At 44.0% G+C, this 24,961-nt stretch overlaps 1 protein-coding gene and 2 long non-coding RNA genes across 20 annotated transcripts in view; 2 read left to right on the top strand and 1 right to left on the bottom strand.

The window, feature by feature from the left end:
- CDK20 (cyclin dependent kinase 20) lies at window positions 1-8,093 on the bottom strand. Of its 16 annotated transcripts, none has more exons than XM_047423121.1 (9): window positions 7,932-8,093; window positions 7,482-7,595; window positions 4,707-4,895; window positions 4,336-4,457; window positions 4,128-4,190; window positions 3,356-3,479; window positions 2,754-2,909; window positions 1,655-1,733; window positions 1-1,219 (listed from the first exon to the last, which is right to left on the bottom strand). In XM_047423121.1, exons 1-9 carry the CDS (start codon window positions 8,004-8,006, stop codon window positions 1,167-1,169), a joined length of 975 nt encoding a protein of 324 aa, XP_047279077.1. In that variant the 5' UTR covers window positions 8,007-8,093; the 3' UTR covers window positions 1-1,166. The 16 variants fall into 16 exon arrangements, with proteins under 16 accessions (XP_047279077.1, XP_016870051.1, XP_047279076.1 ...); XM_017014562.3 differs by having other exon boundaries at window positions 4,128-4,205; XM_047423120.1 differs by having other exon boundaries at window positions 4,128-4,205; window positions 7,482-7,634.
- Window positions 692-2,427, top strand: LOC124902200 (uncharacterized). 2 transcript variants are annotated; one of them, XR_007061646.1, is made up of 3 exons: window positions 692-782; window positions 1,034-1,232; window positions 2,130-2,427. It is a non-coding gene; the product is annotated as an uncharacterized LOC124902200 (long non-coding RNA). The 2 variants fall into 2 exon arrangements; XR_007061647.1 differs by lacking the exon at window positions 1,034-1,232 and having other exon boundaries at window positions 694-782.
- LOC105376131 (uncharacterized) overlaps window positions 7,730-24,961 on the top strand; it is a 20,559-nt gene continuing 3,327 nt past the window's right edge. The window contains exon 1 of one of the 2 annotated variants that reach the window (XR_930089.3): window positions 7,730-7,799. This is a non-coding gene — a long non-coding RNA (uncharacterized LOC105376131). Of the gene's footprint in view, window positions 7,800-8,194; window positions 8,423-24,961 lie in introns of those variants that run through there. The other variant, XR_930088.2, reaches the window with a different exon arrangement.

Here is a 24,961-nt window from a genome sequence, read left to right on the forward strand (position 1 = left end):
TTTTTATCCTTGAACCACAATCATACTCTTTATTATTATACAAACTTTTAAATATTGGTATCTGATACCGTAAGTCCTTCCATCATTTCCTCTTCTGCATCTGGTTCCACTTCCTTCCATGTATCTTTTATAATCACCTTATCAAATTATAATAAGGAAAAAGCACTAGCTGGGATTATATTGGGATTTATTAAATTTATAAATTAATTCCAGGAACGCTTGTTTCCTTAAATACACAGCTGCTTCTGGCTCACGCTCATCCTGAGGGAGTAGATGTTGGTAAACCAGCCTCATGTGCAGAGGGTCTCCTGCTGGATCCCCAACTGGAGCCATCCCTGGGCCTAGACTTCTGTCTCCCTCACTTCTAAATGAGTGCTCAGTGATGTGAAGTACACAGGAGTCCCTCAGGGCAAAAGTGGCTATGCCTGGTGCTACCCTCCCCATGACCCCAAAAACGAGAGCCATGAGACAATGCCACCTTAGCCATTTCCCTTGAGAGAAATGAAGGAGGAACAGACATAAGGCAGAGCCACCTGAGGTTTTTAGAATCTATATCTCACATACTGAACTAGTGTTTAATGGCTCTGAGAATAAAACCAAACCAAATCTTCCTTCCACTTGAGTTTCCAACATAAGGACACCTTACTCTCTGCACTTCTCCTTGACCAGGAGGCAGCACTCGGGGAAGCAGCACCAAGGCAGGCATCGTCATTCTGCATATGCAGGCCTTGACTGGCAGCAGAGCTCACTGTCCTGATGGGTACGTCAGTAGCACACAGAAGGTAAGGCTCACCGAGCACAGGCCATGAATCTCCTCTGCTCGACTGGATGTTCTCATACTCTTGGCTGGGAACATGACCTCTGCCTCGAGACCAACCCTCGCAAGGGCTAAGGGGCAGGGTGTGGTGTGGGCCCACTGTGGCCATGGGGAGGCCTTGGAGGGTGAAGCCAGGCAGGTGGCAGAGGAACAGGTGGACTGAGTGGTCCTGAGGAGCAGGCAGACGGGACCAGGGCCAACTTCTCACCCCTCCAGGATGAAGGGCCGAATCAGCTCTGGGTTCAACAGCGACTCCTCAAGAGGCCGGTCCACGTGGAAGTCATGGATGTGGGGGGGCCCTGGATGGGCCTTGGGGGCAGGTCCCCCTAGACGCTGAGGAATCGGCAGCTCAGATGGATGGGCAGGCAGGGGAGCTGTGAAGAAGTACTGATGGAGGAGAGCCTGAGGGTGGCAAGTAAGGAACAGCAGAAGGAAACTAGTCACCTCCCTGTCCCCAGCCTCAAGCAGATGTTCCTTCATCTATGCATTCAGCTGACTCAGTGTGTCTGGGTGTTTTCTGAGTGTCTACTATGTCTGAAGCACTATTCCAGAAGCTGGGAACATAGCCGTTAATAAAACAGACAAAAGCTCTGTTTTTCTGACATAAGTGAGGGTGGGGGGTAATAAACAAGATGAAGTAAAATACACAGTATGTCAGATAATGATTAGTGCAGTGGAAGAGAGAAAGCAAGACAGAGGAATGAGGAATCCTGGAGAGAGGTTGCAGATCTGAAGAGTCATGAGGGAAGGCCATCTGAGAAGTGACATTTAAGCCAAGACTTGAGACATAAGCAAGTGGGACATGAGGCTCCAGGCCAGGGACAAAAGTGTACTGACCCCTGGGGCTGGAGAGGAGTGAGCACAGGGCACAACAGCAGGCAGCGTCATGAGGTGATGGCACCCAAGCATACGACATCTGTGGGTCACAAAAAGGACCCTGGCTTTTCCTCTGAGATGGAGCCACAGGAGGGCCCTGGCAGAGAAGGAATGTGTCCTGTTCTACTTGGATAAAGTTACTCTGTCTGCCAGGTGGAGAAGAGATTAAATGGGATGAGGGGAGACCCAGATTCTGGGAGGCAACCCAAGAGATAAGGGTCACACGGCTTGGGTACACTGTGGACACAGAGCCCACAGGAGCTGCTGACAGTGGAGACCAAGAGGGCGTATGTAAACACACGCGGCTGGTGCTGAGTGCAGGGAGGGGACAGGGACCCCTGAGAGACACCCTGACACCTGTCAGCCCATGCTCCTGTGGTCATCGTCCTCCCAGGCCTACCAGCCATAACCAGCCTTCCTGGGTCCTCTCTTCCAGGCCTCTGCCCACCATTTCTCTCTTCAGCGAACACCTCCTCAAACATCTCATGCTTAAACCTGCCCTCCACCAGGAAGCTTTGCTTGACCCCAAAGTCGGCCTTGCCTCTCTCCTGGGGCTCCCACAGCTGGAGAACATGACCTCTTGTGACCTTTTGGACCTGGAGCTACCTCACCACCAGGAGTGCCCCGCGGAGGTAGGACTGATTGTTTACCATCTGTGCAGGGCCCAGGACAATCCCTGCATGTGCCAGATGTGCAGAAAATACTTGCTAATGGAATAAAGGAATGAGTCCCCAGTGACTCTCTTACTGTATCTGCCACAGGGTCAGGGGCAGCCCAGAAACCTGCACTCCCGGACACGCGCTCTCCTGAGAGTTGGGCATGCCCCTCGTATGGGCCACCCTCAGGGGAAGTCTGGGGATGTCCAGTGGGGTCTACTCATGAGAGGCACACCTGCTCCAAGGCCCCTGTCCCCTGGGTTCCAGATGTCTGGTGCTGGTCCATGCCAATCACAGGTTCTGAGGGTCGCTGATGTGATGGGGTCACATGGCTACCAAGTACAGAGTACCAGGGTGATGGGGAGGGGAGCTGAAGGAGCAGAGACTACAGCCTCTCCCCCTACCTTGGAAGCTGCGATGCGCTGGTGAGGAGGGTAGAGAAGGAATTGACCCAGCAGATCCAATGCCTGGGGAGAGACGTCAGGCAGCACCTCCTCCAGGGGCATGGGCACCTGCTCCTTAAAGGAGATCTTGTTGTAGTCCGGCAGCTCAGTGAGCTCCTGGGCCAGGGAGAAGGAACAGGGTACAATGAGAGTAGTTCCCGACCCTTGCCATGCTCTCTGCTGTCAACTCTCAGCCCCTAACACACACTCACATGGGGGGTGCTCTCCCATCCATGTGTCTCCCTGACCCATCATTCATTCACTCACCCACCCCTGTATTCCTTCATCCATCCCCTTGCCCTCTCAGATGACGACTCTGTGCACAGCTTGCTGAGACACTGCACATGTGTGTACTGGGGTGAAAAGGGACAAAGGACAGGATCTACCCCAACCCAAATGACAGCAGGAAGGAGGAAGCCCTGAGTTGGGCCAGGACAGTGGTCCCTGTCCATCAAGGGGGGTTGGGGCCAGGAGAGAGAAGGTTCAGGGGAGGGAGTGGTTACTTGCTGTTGGGAGTGGAGTAAACCTGCCCCACACCCACCTCACCAAGGGCCCCTACAAACCGGCCAGACTTGAGGGTTTGGGGTGCCCAAGATGCGAAGCACATAGCAAAGCTGTTCAATATCGTTCTTGCCCGGGAAAAGGGGGGACCCATTCAACAGCTCCCCCATGATGCAGCCCACAGACCTGTGGACACAGAGCCCCAAGCAGGTCAGAGATCTCCCACCATGGACCACAGACCCACCCACAGAGCAGCTCTAACACTGCACTCCAGGGCAAGGCCCCACAAGCCAGCCCTGGAGCCTCACGTCCAGAGGCCCAGTCCCTGAACCCTCAAAGCCCTCAACCCTAGAACCCAGAGCAAAGCCCCAGCTGTTCCAAGACTTCTCGGAGACTCCTGCTCTAGGACACTTCTGGGGCAGACCTGCAAACCTGCCCCAAATCTCAGACCCATGGGCACTGCCAACTATCTTCTTGCTGCAAAACAAGCTCAGAGCTTTCATGTCCAAGGACACAGGCCTCTGACCAGCTCAGAGATGCCATATCCTAGGATCTAACTCCAGCACATATCGGCTCAGACCACCTCCCCATCTAGCCCAGAAAGCTTCCCACCTGGGACCACCATTCTCATCCCACCTGGCCCCTACCCAGCTCGAAAACATCATAGTGAGGAACCCCAACCCCAAAGTGCTCAGAATACCCCAACCAGGGAAGACACCCTTAAGGAAGCCTAAACTCCCACCAGGGAAAAGACCACCAAACAGCTCAGAGACCTCAGAGCCTAGCAGAAATCCATGAGCCATGTTACCCTTTGACCACCCACAGGGGTCTCACCACAGATCGACGCCCTGGTCATACTGGCGGGCACCATACAGGAGCTCGGGGGCTCGGTACCACCTGCGAGGAAGAGGGCTGGCAGGCACTGGGCTGAGAAAAGGATGCCTGGGGAGGTGACCCCAGCCCCACAAGCAATGTCTGGAGAAAAGGCCCAGAAGCATCTCTTCCCCATGGAGAAGACTGGAAGGGATCTGGCCCTCCCTACCTGGTGGCCACCTGGTGTGTGTAGAGGCGGCTGCCGTCTGGGGAAAAGACTCGAGCCAGGCCAAAGTCCGCTATCTTGAGCTGGCCTGAGGCGCTGATGAGCAGGTTGGCAGGTTTCAGGTCCTGGGAGTACCAAAAGAAGCATCAGTCCCTCCAAATCCCCCATAGGACCTTGGGACAAGCGGGCTTGGCAGTCTAACCACTCAGGTCAGCCCCGGTCCCCACCTCCTCCAGGGCCATGCCCTGGCCACTTACCTGGAGGCCTTGACCAGCTCTGTCCCAACTTCTTATCACACCTTTTACAAGGGCTAGCCCCATCCCCAAGCCAAGTCAGCTCCCCAGACCCCATGCCCGGCCTATGCTGAGACTGACCCGATGTACAATGTTGTTGGCATGGCAGAAGGCGACACCCTTGAGCAGCATCTGCAGGTAGCTCTTGACCTGTGCCTGGGCTAGTGGCCTCTGGGCATGGCGCACCACCTCGGCCAGATCCGACAGCATGAACTCAAAGGCCAGCACAAAGCCTCCACCGTGTGGGAACACAGCCTTCAGTTGTACCACCTGTGGGCAGGACATCTTGTTAGCCCCCAGACTCAAGTCACCAGACCCTCTCTGTGACCCTGAGACCCCAGCCCATGCCCTGACAGAGGACCCTGTATCCAAAAAGACAGTAAGCAAAGAAGGTGACGTGGACCTGAGCTAAGAATCAGAGAGCTCGATGCTCATGATTTGCTCTGCTCTCCTGAGATAAGGTGTGCCCCCACTCTAATTCTCCATGAACACTAAAAGGTCTAAAAAAGGTCATTTAGTGGCACCATCTGGTCCGCCCACCCAGCCTACCCGCCTGAAAATCATCTGGATGGTCACACATGAGATGGACAGGTCTCCTCCTGTTTCCTCTAGAACCACCGAATCCCAGCACCAAGGAAAGGACACCAGGAATCCCACCTTTCCCAGTGCTGGGACAGCTACAGACACATCACAAACACTGAGGCCAGTACTGTCAGAGGAGCCAGGCTACACAGAGAGTGAGCTGAGAGACAGGACTCTTAATGAACTCACAGCACAAAGGACAAACAGTTTAACAAATAAATGAATAAAAGGGATATATTCAGATTCTGTAAGTACAGGAACCAAAATACAAGGGGGCTGGGCATGACGTCTCATGCCCGTAATCCCAGTACTTTGAGAGGCCAAGGTGGGCGGATGGCTTGAACCCAGGTGTTTGAGACCAGCCTGGGCAACATGGTGAAACCTTGTCTCTACAAAAAATACAAAAAACTAGCCAGGCATGGTGACACGTGCCTGTAGTCCTAGCTACTTGGGAAGCTGAGGTGGGAGGATCACCTGAGCCCAGGAGGTTGAGACTACAGGGAGACAAAATCGCACTTCTACACTCCAGCCTGGGTGACAGAGTGAGACCCTGTATCAAAAAAAGAAAAAAAATCAACAGAACTAGAAGAGGATAGTGTGATTCTGTGAGTGGAGAAAAGGATACTTCTTTATTTAGGTGGGGTGGGGCTAGATGAGGACCCAGTTTGTGGGGATCTGGGATAAAGCTCTGAGCAGGAAGAAAAGCAAGTGCAAGGCCCTAACGCCAGCACAGAAGGAGGCTAGAGGGATGTGAGTACATGAGATTGTTTAAGGGAAGGATGTGTCTGCCTTGTTCTGTGCTCCTGGACCCTAGATAGGTGCTGGTCACTGGAGAGATGCCTAAGAAGTTGTGTTGAATGAGAGAAAAGGGAGAGGCCAGCTGGAGGTGGGCACATGGTGATAGTGCTCTAAGTGTGAAGAGAAGCCACCAGGGCTTTTTACGCAGGGGAGCCGATGACTTAACTTACACTTTTGACAAAGCCCTCCGGACTGTGGCTATGGAGAGCAGTGGGGAGGCTGCCACTGTCATTCTGATGAGTGGTGATGATGACTTGGGCAAGGAGCAAATCTAGAGTATGTTTTAAAGTTAGAACCTTCAGAATTGCTGACCAACTGGATGTAGGGACCATATCACCAGCTTCCTTATGGATCTCTCCACCTATCCCACACATGGCTGTCTGGAAGCCCTTTTATCTTCCTCAAAAAATCAAAATGGCCTGATTGCTGTTTTCGGATTTTTCAGGTAGTACACAACCATTTAACAGATCAAAACACATGCACACATTCAGGTAAGACATAAAATCCAACAGAAAAAGAACAAAAGAAAAATCCTACAGTCAATCTTAGAGTGTATTCTACCAGACTTTACAACAGATATGGCACACACAAATACACATTCACATATATAATATTTCCAAACAAAACCCAGATGACACAAAATTTTATAACATGCTTTTGTCATCCAATATATCATGCATATCTCCAGATCACAGAGACCCAACCCTGTTAACTCTCCAGGGAGTCAAATACATTCCCTATTTCGACATGGGTGAGAGAGAGCACCAAAAGAGTAATGACACTAGGGGTGAAAGATGCCCCTCTTCGTGTTCCAGCAGCCCCTCCCGGTACCCTATCACAGCACGAACCACACTAGGTGGGCCCTGTTGCCTCTGTCTCTTGTTAGCACACTTAAGTCCTCAGGAGCTGGGCTGGAGCTGGTTTCTCTGTGTCACCAGTGCCCAACACAGGGTAGAGCCTATGGGAGGTCCCAAGGGAAGAATGGACTCTCAATCAAACCTGGGCCAAACCCTCTACTGACTAACGGAGGGCCCAAGAGCTGGTGACATAACCTCCTCCTCTCACCTGAGAAACAGAGATCTGGAAACCTGCCTTGTACAGTAGTAAAGAGGTCTCAAAATGACAATGTATATAATGCCTGCAGAACACATCGGGAGCTCAATAGGTGCTAGTTACATTATAAATCACTACATGTTTTGAGAAAAAAAGTCGGTGAATGAATGAATACATTAAGAAATAAGTAGGCAAATGAGAGTGAATGTGTGAGAAATGAAAGAAATAGGTAAATAAAGGTGAACAAGTGGACAAAAAAGGGCAAAAGGGGGTAAGGAGGCAGATGAATGAGCAGTGTGTGTGAGTGACAGCGGGAGGAAATCCCTGAAAGCTGGTGAAGGCGTAGCTGGGAAAATGAAGGCACAAAGAAGTGGGAACGAGCGACTGAGGGTGAGAATACCATGCCCCCCCTCCCCTACTCACATACTGATTGTCCTCCATCTCCTGCAGAGCCTTAATCTCCCGCAGGGCCTGGTTAGGGAAGCCGTCCTCCAACCGCCTTAGGGCCACCTTCTTGAGGGCAACTATCTCGCCAGTCTGCAGGATAGAAGGCAGACACTGCCAGCCCACCCTCGGCTGGGAAAGAGAGATGAAGGTGGGTGAGGGGAAGGTGGTTGAGAGAGAGACACGCGCCCCCGGCTCGGCCAGAGGCCCTCCTCGGGGGTCTAGGACTAGCCTGGGACCCAGCCGCTGGGGTAGGGGACCAAGCCAGCTGTGCGGAGGGAAGCGCAACGGCCCAAAGTAGGTTTAGAATATGAGTAGGTTTTAAAAACTGTACTGGATGTAAAAAGGGAACCGAAACAGTTTAGAGCGTTAGCCGGAGGGTGGCGGGGGCACACCCCCGCCAGGCTGCCGGCCGCGGTCCAGCCTCACCTCCACGTGCTTGGCCTTGAAGACGATGCCGTGGGCGCCCTCCCCGATGCGGCCCAGGATGCAGTACTGGTCCATCCCGCTGCAGTCGTGGGCCTGTGCCCCTGTGCCCCTGAACTTCCAAACTCCACTTCTCCTCCACCCCACGCTGATCTGAGCTCGCACGCTGTTGCCTAGCAACAGCGCGGCAGCTGACCACTGGGGCGGTTCCTGTAGGCGACGTCACCAGGAGAACGGAAGCTGCGTCGAGTCAGGGGTGACAGCTCCGGGCCCCACTGCGCCTTTTCCTAGCCCTCCGCTGTCACGCAGCAGCAAGCTTAATCCCGCATAAAAAACGCATGCGCCGAGAGCGTGCCCGCAGCAGGGCCCACGGAACGATGACAGCAGGCACCTCCTATCTGCCCCCGCCCCCGGCGTCACGTGACTAGCTGCGCTGGTGCACGCAGCCGGGAGGGGCGGGCTCCTTCCCCTGGCAAGCCGGAAGCTCCGCACCTGTAAGTAGAGGTTCAGGCTTCGACCACGCGCAGGTGCTGTTTTCTAGCTCCGAAAGCCAGGCACTATTGATGCAGACAGACAGGTCCCGGGCTGCGTTGTGGAAAGAGGGTCTGTGGGTCCTCTTGTCTTAAAATGTCAGTTGGCTACGTGTACCCACAGATTTTTAAAAGGGCATACTCTGAGGGCCGGGCACGGTGGCTCACGCCTGTAATCCCAGCGCTTTGGGAGGCTGAGGCGGGCGGATCATCAGGTCAGGAGTTCGAGACCAGCCTGACCAACATGGTGAAACCCCGTCTCTATTGAAAATACAAAAAAAATTAGCCGGGCGTGGTGGCGTGCTCCTGTAATCCCAGCTACTCAGGAGGCTGAGGCAGAAGAATCGCTTGAACCCGGGAGGCAGAGGTTACAGTGAGCCGAGATTGCGCCACCGTACTCCAGCCTGGGTGACAGAGCGAGACTCTGTCTCAAAAACTAAAACTAAAAATAAAATAAAAGGGCATACTCTGACCCAGACAGGACAGAGTAGGCCTTAAACTTCTGAAAGGATGCTCAACTTCACATACAATAAACAAATGCAAACTAAAGTTACAGTTTTTCACATATTGGATGGCTAAAGATCTCAGGTCTAATAGTTCATTGACCAAGCTACGGGAAAACAAGCACTTTCATACATTGCTGGTGGCAGTATAATTTGACGATGTTGATCAAATCACAAATGCACAGACCCTCAGACTCAGCAAAGCCACTTCTAGCAATTTCCCCAATAGACACCTTTTACACATGTGAAATGACATGTACAAAGTTATTCCATTGCAACGTTGTTTCAACGGCAAACTATTGGAAACAACACAGATGTCCATCATTGTGGTGCCTCCTTCAAATGAGGTATTAAATCTTTTTATGTACAGCAATGGGAAGATTTCTAAAATAGGTTGTTAAATGAAAAAGGCAAGATGCAGGACAGAATGCATAGAGTACCACTGGCTGTGTAAACAAAAGGAGAAAAGAATATAAATAATGCTTGTACATCCATTACAAGATATCTGGAAAGATACACAAGATTTCCTGAGTGTGGTTACCTGGTGGAAGAGGGACTGGGAGGACAGGGGGACAGAATAGGAGGCAGACTTTTCACTGGGTCTCTTTACATTATTTGAGTTTTGAATATAATTTATTAATTTTCCAAAAAAGCAAATATTTTCTAGCTTAGAAATTTCACTTCTGGGTTAATAATTGCAGAAGAATGACTTGATGTCCATACAAAGTATTCCTCCTGTTTGATGATAGCAGAGATCTGAAAACAACCCAAATACCCAGATGGAAAAATGGCTAAGTTAAGTTAAGGGAGTGCCATAGAATGGAATAGTTTTTAGCATTAAAACTGGCGAAGATAGGCTGGGCATGGTGGCTCAGGCCTGTAATCCCAGCACTTTGGGAGGCCGAGTCCTACGGATCACTTGAGATCAGGAGTTTGAGACCAGCCTGGCCAACATGGCGAAACTCCCTGCCTGTACGAAAAATACAAAAATTAGCCGGGCATGGTGGCACTCGGCCTGTAGTCCCAGCTACTCAGGAGGCCGACGCGGGAGAATCGTTTGAATGGAGGAGGCGGAGGTTGCAGTGAGCCGAGATTGTGCCAAGGCACTCCACCCTGGGCGACAGAGCAAAACTTGGTCTCAAAAAAAACAAACAAAAAAAAAAAGATACAGTAGGGAAAGGATGGTCTTCACAAATAGTGCTGGGTCATTTGAGAAGTCATAAGGGGAAAATAATGTATATTGACCCCAGTCTCACACCATTCACAAAATTGATTCCAGATGGACTGCAATCTAAATATAAAAGGTAAATAATGAAGCTTTTAGAAGAAAATTATATCTTAATGGCTTTGGATTAATTCAAGATCCTTAGGTTACAGAATACACTAAAAGAAAAACAAAAATGAGAAATTGGCCTTCATCAATGCTAAGAATATCTATTCATCAAAAGATACCATTAGAGACCAGGCACAGTGGCTCACACCTGTAATCCCAACGCTTTAGGAGGCCAACATGGGAGAATCAGTTGAGGTCAGGAGTTCGTGACCAGCCCGGCCAACATGGTGAAACCCTGTCTCTGCTAAAAATACAAAAATTAGCCAGGCATGGTGGCATGCACCTGTCATCCCAGCTACTCAGGAGGCTGAGGCAGGAGAGTTGTTTGAATCCAGGAGGTGGAGGTTGCCGTGAACCAAGATCACGCCACTGCACTCAAGCCTGGGTGACAGAGTGAGACTCCATCTCAAATTAAAAAAAAAAAAAAAAAGATACCATTAGAGAGTGAACAAGAAAGCCACAGAAAGGCAAAAGAGAACTGTAATACATATATCTGACAAAGGACTCACATGTAGAATTTATAGAGAACTTTTATTATAACACTGAAGAAGAAGCAGACAATCTTACAAAAAAAAAATTAGAAAAACCTGGAATAGACACTTCGCAAAAGGTGATTCCTGAACAGCCAATAAATTTTGCAATATGTGTGTTTAACTTCCCTGACTAGAAGGGAATTTCATATTAAAACCACAACAGAGTGTTATTGTAATCACTAGAATAGTTTAAATGAAAAAGATAGATAATACCAAATGCTAGCAAAGAGCAACTTGAACTCTCATACACTGCTGCTAAGAGTGCAAGTTCATACAACCCCTTGGAAAAACTGGCACTTTTTTCCACAGGCACGTACCACCACGCCTGTAGAGGCAGGGTCTCTCTATGTTGCCCAGGCTGATCCTGGGCTTGAGGGATCCTCCCACTTTGGCCTCCCAGAGTACTGGACTTACAGGCCTGAGCCACCACACACGGCTCCACTTTGTCAAGTTTTACTAGCTAGTTTGAGGTTCAAGAAAAGTTTCAAAGCAAATGCCTTTTTATTGGACTAGTGACTTTTTTCTTTTTTTTCTTTTTTTTTTTTTTTTTGCCAAATCAATAACTGCATAATGACTTTTACATGACTAAATTTTACTTATCTTCCCACACATAAGACTGTCGTACAATTATCAAATGCTTTATGAAGCACCATTTTGTGCATAACATCACAGCACAAAGACTAGTATGATTATGGTAATGGGAGTTATTTCACTATTCTCTTCAAGAAATGGTAAAAGGAGACGATAATCTCAATTGATGCAGAAAAAGCATTTGACAAAATTCAACACTCTTTAATGAAGAAAGCACTCAACAAACTATAAATACAAGAAAACCACCTCAACATAATACAGGCCATGCAGGAAAAGCCCACAGTTAACATTACATTCAATGGTGAAAGATTGAAAGCTTTCCCTCTAAGATCAAGAACAAGTCAAGGATCCTCACTTTTGCCGCTTTTATTTTATATAATACTGGAAGTCCTAGCCAAAGCAATTAGAAAAATAAATAAATAAATACATAAATAGGCCGGGCACAGCGGCTCATGCCTGTAATCCCAGCACTTTGGGAGGCTGAGGCAGGTGGATTACCTGAGGTCAGGAGTTCAAGACCAGCCTGGCCAACATGGCGAAACCCCATTTCTACTGAAAATACAAAAATTAGCCGGGCATGGTGGCACGCACCTGTAGTCCCAGCTACTTGGGAGGCTGAGGCAAGAGAATCGCTTGAACCCGGGAGGCGGAGGTTGCAGTGAGCCGAGATCGCACCACTGCACTCCAGCCTGGGTGACAGAGTGAGACTCCGTCTAATAAATAAATAAATGAATGTAGGTAAATAAATAAATAGCATCCAAATTGGAAAGAAAAAACTATCTCTGTCTAGAGACAACATGATAATATATGTAGAAAATCCTAAATATGCCACAAAAAACTGTTAAAACTAATAAACAAGATAAACAGAGTAGCAAGATTCAAAATCAATATGCAAAAATCAATAGTTTCTATATACTAACAATGAGCACTCTGAAACAGAAATTAAGAAAATAATTCCATTTACAATAATATCAAAAAGAATAAAATACTTAGGAGTAAATAAGGAAGCAAAAGACTCATAGGTTGAAAACTAAAAAATGTTGCTGAAAGAAAGACACAAATAAATAGACATCTTGTGTTCATGGACTGAAGGACTTAATATTTTGAATATGTCAATACTACTGAAAACAATTTAAAGGTTTAATGGAATCTCCATGGGATTTCTTTTTTGCAGAATTAGAAAAAAAAATTATTCAGAAACCAATGTGGATTCTCAAGAGGCCCTAAATAGCCAAAACCAATCTTAAAAAAGGAGGAGGTCTTACTCGTCCAGATTTTAAAGCTTACCACAAGCTATAGTAATCAAAAAAGTGTGGTACTGACATAAAGGCAGACAGCCCAATGGAATAGAATGGAGAGCCTAGAAGTAAATCTTCACATACCTGATCAAATGATTTTTAAAAAAATTATGAAGACCATTCAATGGGGAAAGGACAGTCTCTTTAACTAATGATGGTGAGAAAGCTAGAGCTCTACATGCAAGAAAATGAAAAAATTGACCCCTTATATCATATGGAAAAACTAACTCAAAATGGATTAAAGACCCAAATTTACACCAGGTGCACTGGCTTACACCTGTAATCTCAGCACTTTGGGAGGCTGAGGCAGGATCACTTGAGGCCAAGGCCCGCGGATCACTTGAGGTCAGGAGTTCGAGACCAGCCTGGCCAACATGGTGAAACCCTGTCTCTACTGAAAATACAAAAAAATGAGCTGGGCATTGGGGCATATGCCTGTAATCCCAGCTACTCAGGAGGCTGAGGCAGGAGAATCACTTGAAACCAGGAGGTGGAGGTTGCAGTGAGCTGAGGTCACGCCACTGAACTCCAGCGTGGGCAACAGAGGGAGGCTCTGTTTCAAAAAAAAAAAAAAAAAAGAAAACCTAAATGAAAGAGCTAAAACTATAAAACTCTTAGAGGAGAACATAAGGACATAAGGGAAAAGCTTCATAATATTGGGTTTGACAGTGACTTCTTTTTTTTTTTTTAAGACACAGTCTCACTCTGTTGCCAGGCTGGAGTACAATGGCATGATCTCGGCTCACTGCAACCTCTGCCTCCCAGATTCAAGCAATTCTCCTGTATCAGCCTCCCAAGTACCTGGGACTACAGGCGCATGCCACCACGCCCAACTAATTTTTGTATTTTTAGTAGAGACAGGGTTTCACCATGTTGGCCAGGATGGTCTCGATCTCTTGACCTCATGATTTGCCTGCCTCGGCCTCCCAACGTGCTGGGATTACAGGCATGAGCCACCGCACCTGGCCTGACAGTGACTTCTTCATGTAACACTAAAAACATAGGCAACAAATGTAATAATAGCCAGGGTAATTAGGCAAGAGAAAGAAAGGGTATCAAAATTGGAAAGCAGAAAGTCAAATTGTCCCTATTTGCAGATGGCATGATCTTATATATGGAAAAACCTAAAGGTTCTACCAAAAAACTCTTAGAACTGATACATTTAGTTAAGTTTTAGGATACAAAATCAACATATAAGTATCAGTAGTGTTCCTATATTTGAACAATAAACTAGCTGAAAAAGAAAGGCAATCACATTTACAATAGCTACAAAAAATAAAAAATAATAAAATACCTAGGTATAAATCCAACCAGGGAGGTGAAAGACCTCCACAAGGAAACTAAAAAACAGTGATAAAAGAAATGGAAGAGTATACAAATAAATGGAAAGACATCCCATGCTCATGGAGTACAAGAATTAATATTGTTAAAATGACCATACTGTGCCGGGCATGGTGGCTCACACCTGTAATCCCAGCACTTTGGGAGGCCGAAGCAGGTGGATCATCTGAGGTCAGGAGTTTGAGACCAGCCTGGCCAACATGCGAAACCCTGTCTCTACTAAAAATACAGAAAATAGCCGGGCACGGTGGCAGGCAGCTCTAATCCCAGCTACTCGGGAGGCTGAGGCAGGAGAATAGCTTGAACCAGGGAGGCAGAGGTTGCAGTGAGCCGAGATTGCACCATTGCACTCCAGCCTGGGTGACAGAGTGAGACTCTGTCTCAAAAAAAAAAAAAAAAAAAAAAAAAAAAATGACCATACTACCCAAAGCAATCTACAGATTCAATGCAATCCCTATCAAAATGCCAATGACATTCTTCACAGAAATAGAAAAAAAGATTTAAAAACAATGTGGAGACACAAAAGATTCTGAATAGCCAAAGCAATCCTATGCAAAAAGAACGAAACTGAAGGCATCACACTACCTGACTTCAAAATCTACTACAAAGTTGTAGTAACACAAACTGCATAGTACTGACCTTAAAACAGACACGTGGGCCAATGGAACAGAATAGAGAACCCAGAAATTAATCCACATATATATAGCAAACTGATTGTTGACAAAGGCACCAAGAACACTTACTGAGGAAAAGACAATGTCTTCAACAAATAGTGCTGGGAAAATTGGATATCCATATGCAGAAAAATGAAATTAGACCTCCACCTCTCACCTTATACAAAAATCAACCCAAAATGGATCAAAGACCTAAAAGTAACACAAAAAACTATAAAACTACTAGTAGAAAACATAGGGGAAGTGCTTCAGGATATTGGTCTGGGAAAAGACTTTATGAGTAAGACCTCAAAAACACAGCCACAAAGGCAAAAATAAACACATGGGATTATATCAAACTAAAAAGCTTATGCACAGCAAAAGAAATAACACAGTGAACAGACAACCTGCAGAATCTGAGAAAATATCTGCAAGCCATTCATCCAACAGGGGATTAATATCCAGAATACACAAGGAACTCAAACATCTCAACAGTCAAAACAAAACAAAAACGACAATTCAGTTTAAGAATGGGCAAATGATCTAGATAAGACATTTCTCAAAAGACGACATACAAATGGCCAAGAAACATATGAAAAAGTACTCAATGATGCTAATTGTCAGAAATGCAAATCAAAACTACAATAAGGTATAATCTCATCCCAGTTAGGATGGCTAAAATAACAAATCCTGGCAAGGATGCGGAGAAAAGAAAACTCTAATATGCTGTTGATGAAAACGTAAATTAGTACAGCCACTGTGGAGAACAGTATGGACATTCATCACAAAACTGCAACTAGAACTACCATAAGATCCAGTGCTGTCACTACTGGATATTTATCCAAAGGAAAGGAAATCAGTATGTTGAGGAGACATCTTCATCCCCATGTTTATTGCAGCACAGCACTATTCATAACAGCCAAGATATGGAATCAACCCAGGTGTCCAACAATAGATGAATGAATTTTTTAATGTGGTATATATATATAATGGAATATTATTCAGCCTCAGAGAGAATGAAATCCTGTCATTCACTGCAACATAGATGGAACTGGAGGATAGTATGTTAAGTGAAATAAACCAGGAACAGAAAGTGAAACATCACATATTCTCACATGTGGAAGCCAAGAAAAGTTAATCTCAGAGAAGTAAAAAGTAGAACAGAACATACTTGTAGTGGAGAAGGGGGGGTACATAGTGAGAGATTTGTTAAAGGATACAAAATTACAACTAGTTAGATAAAAGGAATAAGTTCTAGTGTTCTGTAGCACTGTGGTATGACTATATATTAGTTAACAATAATATATAGTTTCAAATAAGTAGAAGGAGGATATTGAATGTTTCCAACACAAATAAATGATAAATATTTGAGATAATGGATATGGTAATTACCCTATCTGATCTTTATACATTATGTATTGGACACTGTACCTGTCAAAACATCATTATGTACCCCATACATACATACAATTACTATATGTCAATCAAAATTTTAAAATAATAATAGACACATTTGATTTTATCAAAATTAAAAGCTTCTGTGCATCAAAGGACACAACAGAATAAAAAAGCAATATACGGAAAGGGAGATTCATGAAGCTGAGTGAACACCAAACAGAATGAATCTAAAGAAAACATGACCCAACCATAAGCCATCTACAACGAACTCATTCCAAATATAACAATATAAATAGTTTGAAAACAAGTAGTGACAAAAACTAAGAAGTTGTAAAAAGAAGTGATGGGGGTATGTTATAGAGACACAGGAGCCAGCTGAAAGAATTCCTAATGGCCAAAGCTAGAACAATTTGACCAAGAAAATAAAAAATATAATAGTACATTATTAACCGAAGTATAAAATAAATATACATAAGGAAAGCCTACGAAAAATTCTTCTAGATATTGGTCTAGGCAAAGAATTCATGGCTAAGACTTCAAAAGCAAATACAGCAATAACAAAAATAGACAAATGAGACTTAATTAAACTAAAATGTTTCTGCACAGCAGAAAAATAACGCAGTGAATAACAACCTGCAGAATAGGAGAAAATATTTTGCAAACTATGCATCTGACGGACTAATATCCAGAATATGCAAAGAACTCAAACATCTTAACAACAACAACAAAAACCAAATAACCCCACTAAAAGCAGTCAAAGAACATGAACAGACATTTGACAAACAAAGACATACAAATGGCCAACAAGCATATGAAAATATTCTCAACATCACTACTCATCAGGGAAATGAAAATTAAAATGAGATATCAGCTTACACCAGTCAGAATGCCTATTAATAAAAAGTCAAAGGCCAGGCACAGTGGTTCACGCCTGTAATCCCAGCACTTTGGGAGGCCGAGGCGGGTGGATTACCTGAGGTCGGGAGTTTGAGACCAGCCTGACTAACACGGAGAAACCCTGTCTCTACTAAAAAAATACAAAATTAGCCTGGCATGGTGGCACATGCCTGTACTCCCACCTACTAGGGAGGCTGAGGCAGGAGAATTGCTTGAACCTCGGAGGCGGAGGTTTCAGTGAGTCGAGATCGTGCCATTGCACTCCAGCCTGGGCAATAAGAGCGAAACTCTGTCTCAAAATAAATAAATTGTAAAAAAAAAAAAAAAGAAAGAAAAAAGAAAAAAAAATGTTGGCGAGGATACAGAGAAAAGGGAATGCTTATATACTGTTGGTGGGAATGTAAATTAGTACAACCTCTATGGAAAACAGTATGGAGATTTATCAAAGAATTAAAAATAGAACTACCATTCAATCCAGTAATCCCATTACTGGGTATCTACCTAAAGGAAAAGAAATCATTATATCAAAAAGGTACCTGCATTTGTATGTATGTAGTAGCACTATTTCCAGCAGAAAAGATATGGAATCAACCTAAGTCAACCTAGGTGTCTATCAAAGGATGATTGAATAAAGAAAATGTTTTATACACACACACACACATATATGTATGTGTATATACAGGAATACTACTCAGCCATATGTTGGGGACCAACCCCAACACCACCCGTAGGGTACCCAAAGTCCGGTGGTGACAAAGGAATGAGAAGAGACAGGTTAAGAGTTCATAAAGGTGGGAGCCAGGGGGCCAGAACAAATCAGAGGCTGCGAAGGTGCCAAGCTCTGGTCTCCACACTATTTATTGAGTACAGTCACTTAGATCTAAGAAGCAGATGTTCAGGGGTGAAACGGTGAAAGCGGGGGGCGGTGTGACATACACCTAATCTATAGCAATGGCGGTTTAGGTAAATTTTCTTTGTGCTGAAGCAGCATAAACTTAACTACTGATTTATTCTTTAACTTATTGGAGAGCAGCTATCGGGAGTGGGCATAACTAGGAGCCGGCATATCTGGCCACATTCCAATGCTTCAAAGGAGTGTCTTTCTCCTTGAGCACAGTGTTTATAGATAAGAGAGCAGGTCACGCTCTGGTCATGGGAACGTTATGGCAATTAGAAGACTTTCCTCCTCAGAGGCCTCTTGTGGCTTTCCACAACTTATTGTCCCATATTTTTATGGCCAGTTTATGCAGGCACCCCACAAGCCCTTTTCCCAACAGCCATAAAAAAAGAATAAAATCATGTCATTTGCAGCAACATGGAACTGGATATCATTTTTATATCTATATATATATACACACATACACATGTATATATGTGTATATACATATATACACGTATATACGTGTATATACGTGTATATACGTATATACACGTATATACGTGTATATACGTATATACACGTATATACGTGTATATACGTGTATATACATATATATATTTTTTTTTTTTTGAGACGGAGTTTTGCTCTGTCACCCAGGCTGGAGTGCAGTGACAGGATCTTGGCTCACTGCAACCTCTGCCTCCCGGGTTCAAGCAGTTCTCCTGCCTCAGCCTCCTGAGTAGCTGGGATTACAGGCACACACCACCGTGGCCGGCTAATTTTTGTATTTTTTTAGTAGAGTTGAGGATTCACCATGTTGGCCAGGCTGGTCTCAAACTCCTGACCTCAGGTGATCTGCCCACCTCGGCCCCACAAAGTGCTGAGATTACAGGCGTGAGCCACCGTGCCTGGCTTTCTTTTCCCGTTTTCCTTTTTTTTTTAAGAAAGGGGCTCCTCTGTTGCCCAGGCTAGAGTGCAATGGTATAATCATAGCTCACTGCAGCCTCCACTTCCCAGGCTCAAGCAACCATCCCATGTCAGCCTCTGAGTAGCTGGGGCTACAGACACATACCACTACACCCAGCTAATTTTGCTCTTGTCACCCGGGATTACAGGGTGAGCTGGGATTACAGGCATGAGCCACCACACCCGGCTTACTATCTTAAGTAAAATAACTCAAAAGCAGAAAGTCAAATATGGCATATTCACACTTATAAGTAACAGCTAAATAATGTATACACATGGACATAGAGTGTAGAATAATAGACAGTGGAGACTTGACAGGGTGGAAGGGAGGTGAGAGATGAGACATGACTTAATGAGTATGTACACTATTCTGGTGATGGTTACACTAAAAGTCCAGACTTCACCACTACACAATACATTCATGTGACAAAACTGCACTTGTACCCCCTAAATTTATACAAGAAGAAAGAAGAAACAAGAAAGGAGAAGAGAAAAAAAAGAAGTAATAAAAAAGTATAGACAATGAAAACACTAATCAAAAGAATGCTAGAATGGTTACATTATTAGAAAATAAGGTGGACTTCAGAGCAAAGAGAATTACCAGAATCAAAGAAGAACGTTATCATGATAAAAGGATGAATTCGCTAAGAAGATATAATCAAAAATGTGGATGCACTAAACAAAAGAAATGACAGAAATGAAAGAAGAAGTAGACACATTCTCAATTATAGTCAGGCATTTTAACACTCTTCACAGTAATTGACAGAATCACCCGACAGAAAATCAGCAAGGGTATAGAGGAACTGAACAGCACCATCAACCAGGTAACTACAGGATTTTCTGTAGATGGAGACAAGCTGGTTGTCAAATTTACATGGAAAAGCAAAGGCTCTAGAATAGCTATTTTTTTAAAGTTTTGAAGGTAAAGAATAAAGTTGGAGGACTCACCCTACCCAATTTTAAGAGGTTTTATATAACTACTGTAATCAAGATAGCATGATATGGCAGAGGGGCAGACATACAAATAGATGGAAGGGAATCAAGTTCAAGAGTAGACTAACACTAATATGGCCAACTGTTAGTTTTTAATTGACATAGAATTCACGTACTATAAAATTCCCCCTTATAAAGTGTATGATTAAATGTTTTAGCATATTTACAATGTTTTTGTTACATACACAAGATTGCAACCATTGTCACTATCTAATCCAGATAGTTCGTCACCCTCCAAAAACAGCCCACACCCATTAGCAGTCAGTATACATTCCTCCCTTCCCCCAGTCCTTGACAACACTAATCTACTTTCTGTCCCTATGGAATTGCCTCTTCTGAACATTTTATATAAATAGAATCATACAGTAAGTCGCCTCTTGTGCCTAGCTTCTTTCACTTAGCATAATATTTTCAAGGTTTATTCACGTTGAAATGTATATCAGTACTTCTTTTTATGGCTGAATAATATTCCATTGAATAAATATAGCATATCTTGTTTATATTTATTTATTTATTTATTTGGAGATAGTATCTCCCTCTGTTGCCCAGGCTGCAGTTCAGTGGCATGACCATTGCTCACTGTAACTTTGAACTCTTGGGCTCAAGAGATCCTCCTGCCTCAGCCTCCTGAATATCTAGGACTACAGGTACATGCCACTACACCTGGCTAATTGTTTTAAAATTTTTCATAGAGATGGGGTCTTGCTATGTTGCCCAGGCTGCATATCTTGTTTATATATTAATCAGTGATGGACATTTGGAGTGTTTCCATTTTGGCTATGATAAATAGTGCTGCTATGAACATTTATGTACAATTTTTGTGTGAACTTATGTTTTCACTTGTCTTTAGTATCTGCATAGGATTGGAATTGCTGAGTCACATGGTAACTGTATGTTTAACTTTTTGAGGAACTTCCACACTGTTCAAAATGGCTGCACCATTTTACATTCCCAACCAGCAATGTATGAGGGTTCCAACTTTTTCACATCCTCATCAACACTTGCTATTGTCTTTTTTATTCCAACCATCCTAGTGGGTGTAAAGTGGTATCTCATTGTGGTTTTGATTTTCAATTCCTTGATAATCAGTGAGGTTGAACCTCTTTTCATGTGCTTCTTGGCCATGTGTATGTCTTCTTTGGAAAAAATGTTTATTCAAATCCTTTGCCCATTTTCGTTAAAGATATTTGTAGTTTACCACTGACTTATATAACAATAGAGTTATGTATTATTCTAGGTGTTAGTTCCTTATCATAGGGGTCCCCAGACCCCAGGGTCACAGACTAGTACTGGCACAGCAGGAGGTGAGCAGCTGGTAAGCTCGCATTACCGCCTGAGCTTTGCCTCCTGTTGTATTAGCGGGAGCATTAGGTTCTCATAGAAGTGCAAACCCTATTGTGAACTGCAGATGTGAGGGATCTAGATTATGCAATCTGAGGTGGAACAGTTTCATCCTGAAACCATCCCCCTACTTCCATCCGTGGAAAACTATCTTCCACAAAACCAGTCCCTGGTGCCAAAAAGGTTGGGGACCGCTGTCTTATCATATATGATTTGCAAATATTTCTCCTATTCTGGAGATTGTCTTTCATTTTCTTGATAGTGTCATTTGAAGCACAAACATTTTTAATTTTGATGAAGTCCAATTTACCTATTTTTTGGAGGTTGCATGTGTTTTTGGTGTAATATCTAAGAAACCATTGAGTATTCCACATGACAAAGATGTATGATTATATTTTCTTTGAAGATTTTTATAGCTTTAGCTCTTACATTTATGTCTTTGATTCATTTTAAGCTCATTTTTGTATATGGTGTGAGGCAGGGGTCCACCTTATTCCTCTGGATGTAGGGATAACCAGTTGTTCAGCAGTGTTTGTTGGAAATATTATTATTTCCCTTTGGCATTGTCTTGGAACCCTTGTCAAAAATCAGTTGGCCATAATGTATAAGTTTATCTCTGGATTCTCAATTCTGTTCATATGGATATAGATCTACATGTCTATCCTTATGCCAGTACTACCTGATCTTAATTACTGTAGCTTTGTAGTAAGTTTTGAAATCAAGAAATGTAAATCCTTTAACTTTGTCTCCCTTTTTCAAGATTGTTTTAGCTATTCTGAGTTCCTTGGATTTAAAAAAAATTTTTTTGTCCTTGGAAGACTTCAAAATTTTGATATAAATTTTTGGATTAGCTTCTCAACGTTTCCAACAAAAACAGCCAACTAAATTTTGTGAGGATTGTAGTGAATCTGTACACAATCTTAAGATGAAAATACTAATCCCATGAAGACAGGATGTCTTTCTACTTATTTAGATCTTAATTTGTTTCAATGTTGTTTTGTAGTTTTTCATATCATCACTCTTAAGTTCAGACTTTCACAAAGTCTTTGGACATGGGCACAGTGCAGCTACGTTCTTTGCTAAGGTGTAACAAGGGTGACCCTTCCTCCAGTTCCCAATAAGTTCCTTATTTCCATCTGAGACCTCATCAGCCTGGCCTTCACTGTCCCTAATTCTATCAGCACTTTGGTCACAACCACTTAACCAGTCTCATAAAAGTTCCAAACGTTCCCTCATCTTCCTTTCTTCTTCTGAGTCCCCCAAACTCTTCCAAATTGTCCATTACTCAGTTCCAAAGCTGCTTCCACATTTTCAGCTTTCTTTATAGCCATGTGCCACTCCTCAGTATTAATTTTCCATATTAGTCCATTTTGCACCACTATAAAGGAATACCTGAAGCTAAGTAATTTGTTTGTTTTTTATTTTTATTTATTATTTTTGAGACAGAGTCTCACTCCGTTGCCCAGGCTGGAGTGCAGTGGCACAATCTTAGCTCACTGCAACCTCCGTCTCCCGAGTTCAAGTGATTCTTGTGACTCAACCACCCAAGTAACTGAGATTGCAGGCATGTGCACCACACCCAGCTAATTTTTTGCTATTTTTTAAGTAGAGACAGGGTTTTACTGTGTTGGCCAGGCTGGTCTTGAACTCATGGCCTCAAGTGATCTACCCACCTCATCTTCCCAAAGTGCTGGGATTACAGGCCACTGCACCTGGCTGAGGCTGAGTAATTTATAAAGAAAATAAGTTTATTTGGCACACAGTTCTGCAGACTGTACAAGAAACATGGCATCAGCATTGGCTGATCTTCTGGTGAGGGCCTCAGGAAAGTTTTATTCATGGTAGAAGGCAAGGGAAGCTGGCATGTCATATGGGAGAGAGGGAGCAGGAGAGATAGGGCAGATCCCAGACTCTTTAACAACCAGATCTTGCTTGAACTAATGGCACTAGAACTCTCATTAATGTAGGGAAGGCACCAAGCCATTACTGAGGGATCTGTCCCCATGGCCCAAACACCTTGCACCAGGCCCCACCACCAACATTAGCAGTCACATTTCAATATGAGATTTGGAGAGGACAAATATCAAAACTATCTCAACAAGTTGTGCTTCTTTTAAGTTTATTCCTAAAAATGTATTTTTATGCTATTGTAAATGGAATTATTGTCTTAATTTTATTTTCAGATTGTTCACTATTAGTGTGTATAAATATAATTGATTTTCATATATTGACCTTGTATTCTGCAACATTGCCAGACTTATTTGTTAGCTTTAACAATTTTCATGTGAATTCCTTAGTGTTTTCTACGTGCAAATTCATATTATCTGCAAATGGATGGTTTTATTCCTTCCTTTTAATGTGTATGCCTTTTATTTCTTCCTCTTTTGATTGTCCTGACTAAAATCTTCAGTACAATGTGGAATAGAAATGGAAAAAACAGACATTGTTTTGTTCCCTATATTGGCAGGAAGACTTTCAGCTTTTTTTTTTTTTTTTTTTTTTGAGACAGGATCTCTCTCTGTCACCCAGGCTGGAGTGCAGTGGTATGATCATGGCTCACTGCAGCCTCAACCACCTGGACCCAAGTGATTCTCTCACCTCAGCCTCCCAAGTAACTGGGAACACAGGTGCACACCACCATGACTGGCTAGTTTTTAAAAATTATTATTTGTAAGACTGGGCACGGTGGCTCATGCTTGTAATCCCAGCACTTTGGGAGGCTGAGGTGGGTGGATCACAAGGTCAGGAGTTCAAAACCAGCCTGGCCAACACAGTGAAACCCCGTCTCTACTAAAAATACAAAAATTAGCTGGGCGTGGTAGCGGGCGCCTGTAATCCCAGCTACTCAGGAGGCTGAGGCAGGAGAATCATTTAAATTTGGGAGGCGGAGGTTGCAGTGAGCCAAGATTGCGCCATTGCCCTCCAGCCTGGGCGACAGAGCTAGACTCCGTCTCCAAAAAAATTATTTGTAGAGACAAGGTCTTGCTATGTTATTCAGGCTGGTCTTGAACTCCTGGGCTTAAGCGACCCTCCCACCTCAGCCTCCCAAACTGTAGGGATTACAGGCATGAGCCACTGAACCCAGCCACTTTCAGCTTTTTATCATTAAGTAGGATGTTACTTGTAGGGTTTTTGTAGATGGCTTTATTAGGTTGAGGAATATTCTTACTTTGTTGAATATTTTGTATCCTGAAAAGGTTTCGGATTTGTCAAATTTTTTTTCTTTTGAGATTATCATGTAGAGTTTGTCTTTTATTAATATAGTGTATTACATTGATTGGTTTTCTTATGTTGAACCCAGTTTGCATTTGTGGGGTAACTCGCACCTACTCATTGTGTCTAATCCTTTTCTTTAAAAATACACCTGACATTTTAGAACAGTTTTAGGTTCACAGAAAATAGAGCAGAAAGTACAGAGTTCCCACACATGCATAGCACTCCTCACCATCCATATCCTGCACTGGAGTGGGAGATTTACTAGAATTGATGAACCAACATTAACACTTAATTATCATCCACGTTCCATAGTTTACATTCAGTTTCATTGTTGGTGTCATACATTCTGTAGGTTTTGGCACAAATATAATGGCACATATCCACCATTATAGTGTCATATAGAATTGTTTCACTGCCCTAAAAATGCCTGTGCTCTACCTCTTCTTCCCCTCACACAAACCCCTGGCAACCACTGATGTTTTTGCTGTTTCCATAGTTTCACCTTCTTCAACATGTCATATGGTTGGAATCAGAAAATATGTAGTCTTTCCAGATTGGCT

Source organism: Homo sapiens, chromosome 9 (genome assembly GCF_000001405.40).
Source record: "Homo sapiens chromosome 9, GRCh38.p14 Primary Assembly".
NCBI lineage: Eukaryota > Metazoa > Chordata > Mammalia > Primates > Hominidae > Homo > Homo sapiens.

Excerpts from the sequence above, each read along its gene's own strand:
- CDK20 (XM_047423118.1), bottom strand. The coding sequence starts at position 8,006 with ATGGACCAGTACTGCATCCTGGGCCGCATCGGGGAGGGCGCCCACGGC. Across the intron at positions 4,896-7,481 it reads AGATGGAGGACAATCAGTAT|GTGGTACAACTGAAGGCTGT; the intron begins GTGAGTAGGGGA and ends TCCTGCCCACAG. Across the intron at positions 3,480-4,127 it reads GACCAGGGCGTCGATCTGTG|GTCTGTGGGCTGCATCATGG; the intron begins GTGAGACCCCTG and ends CTGTGTCCACAG.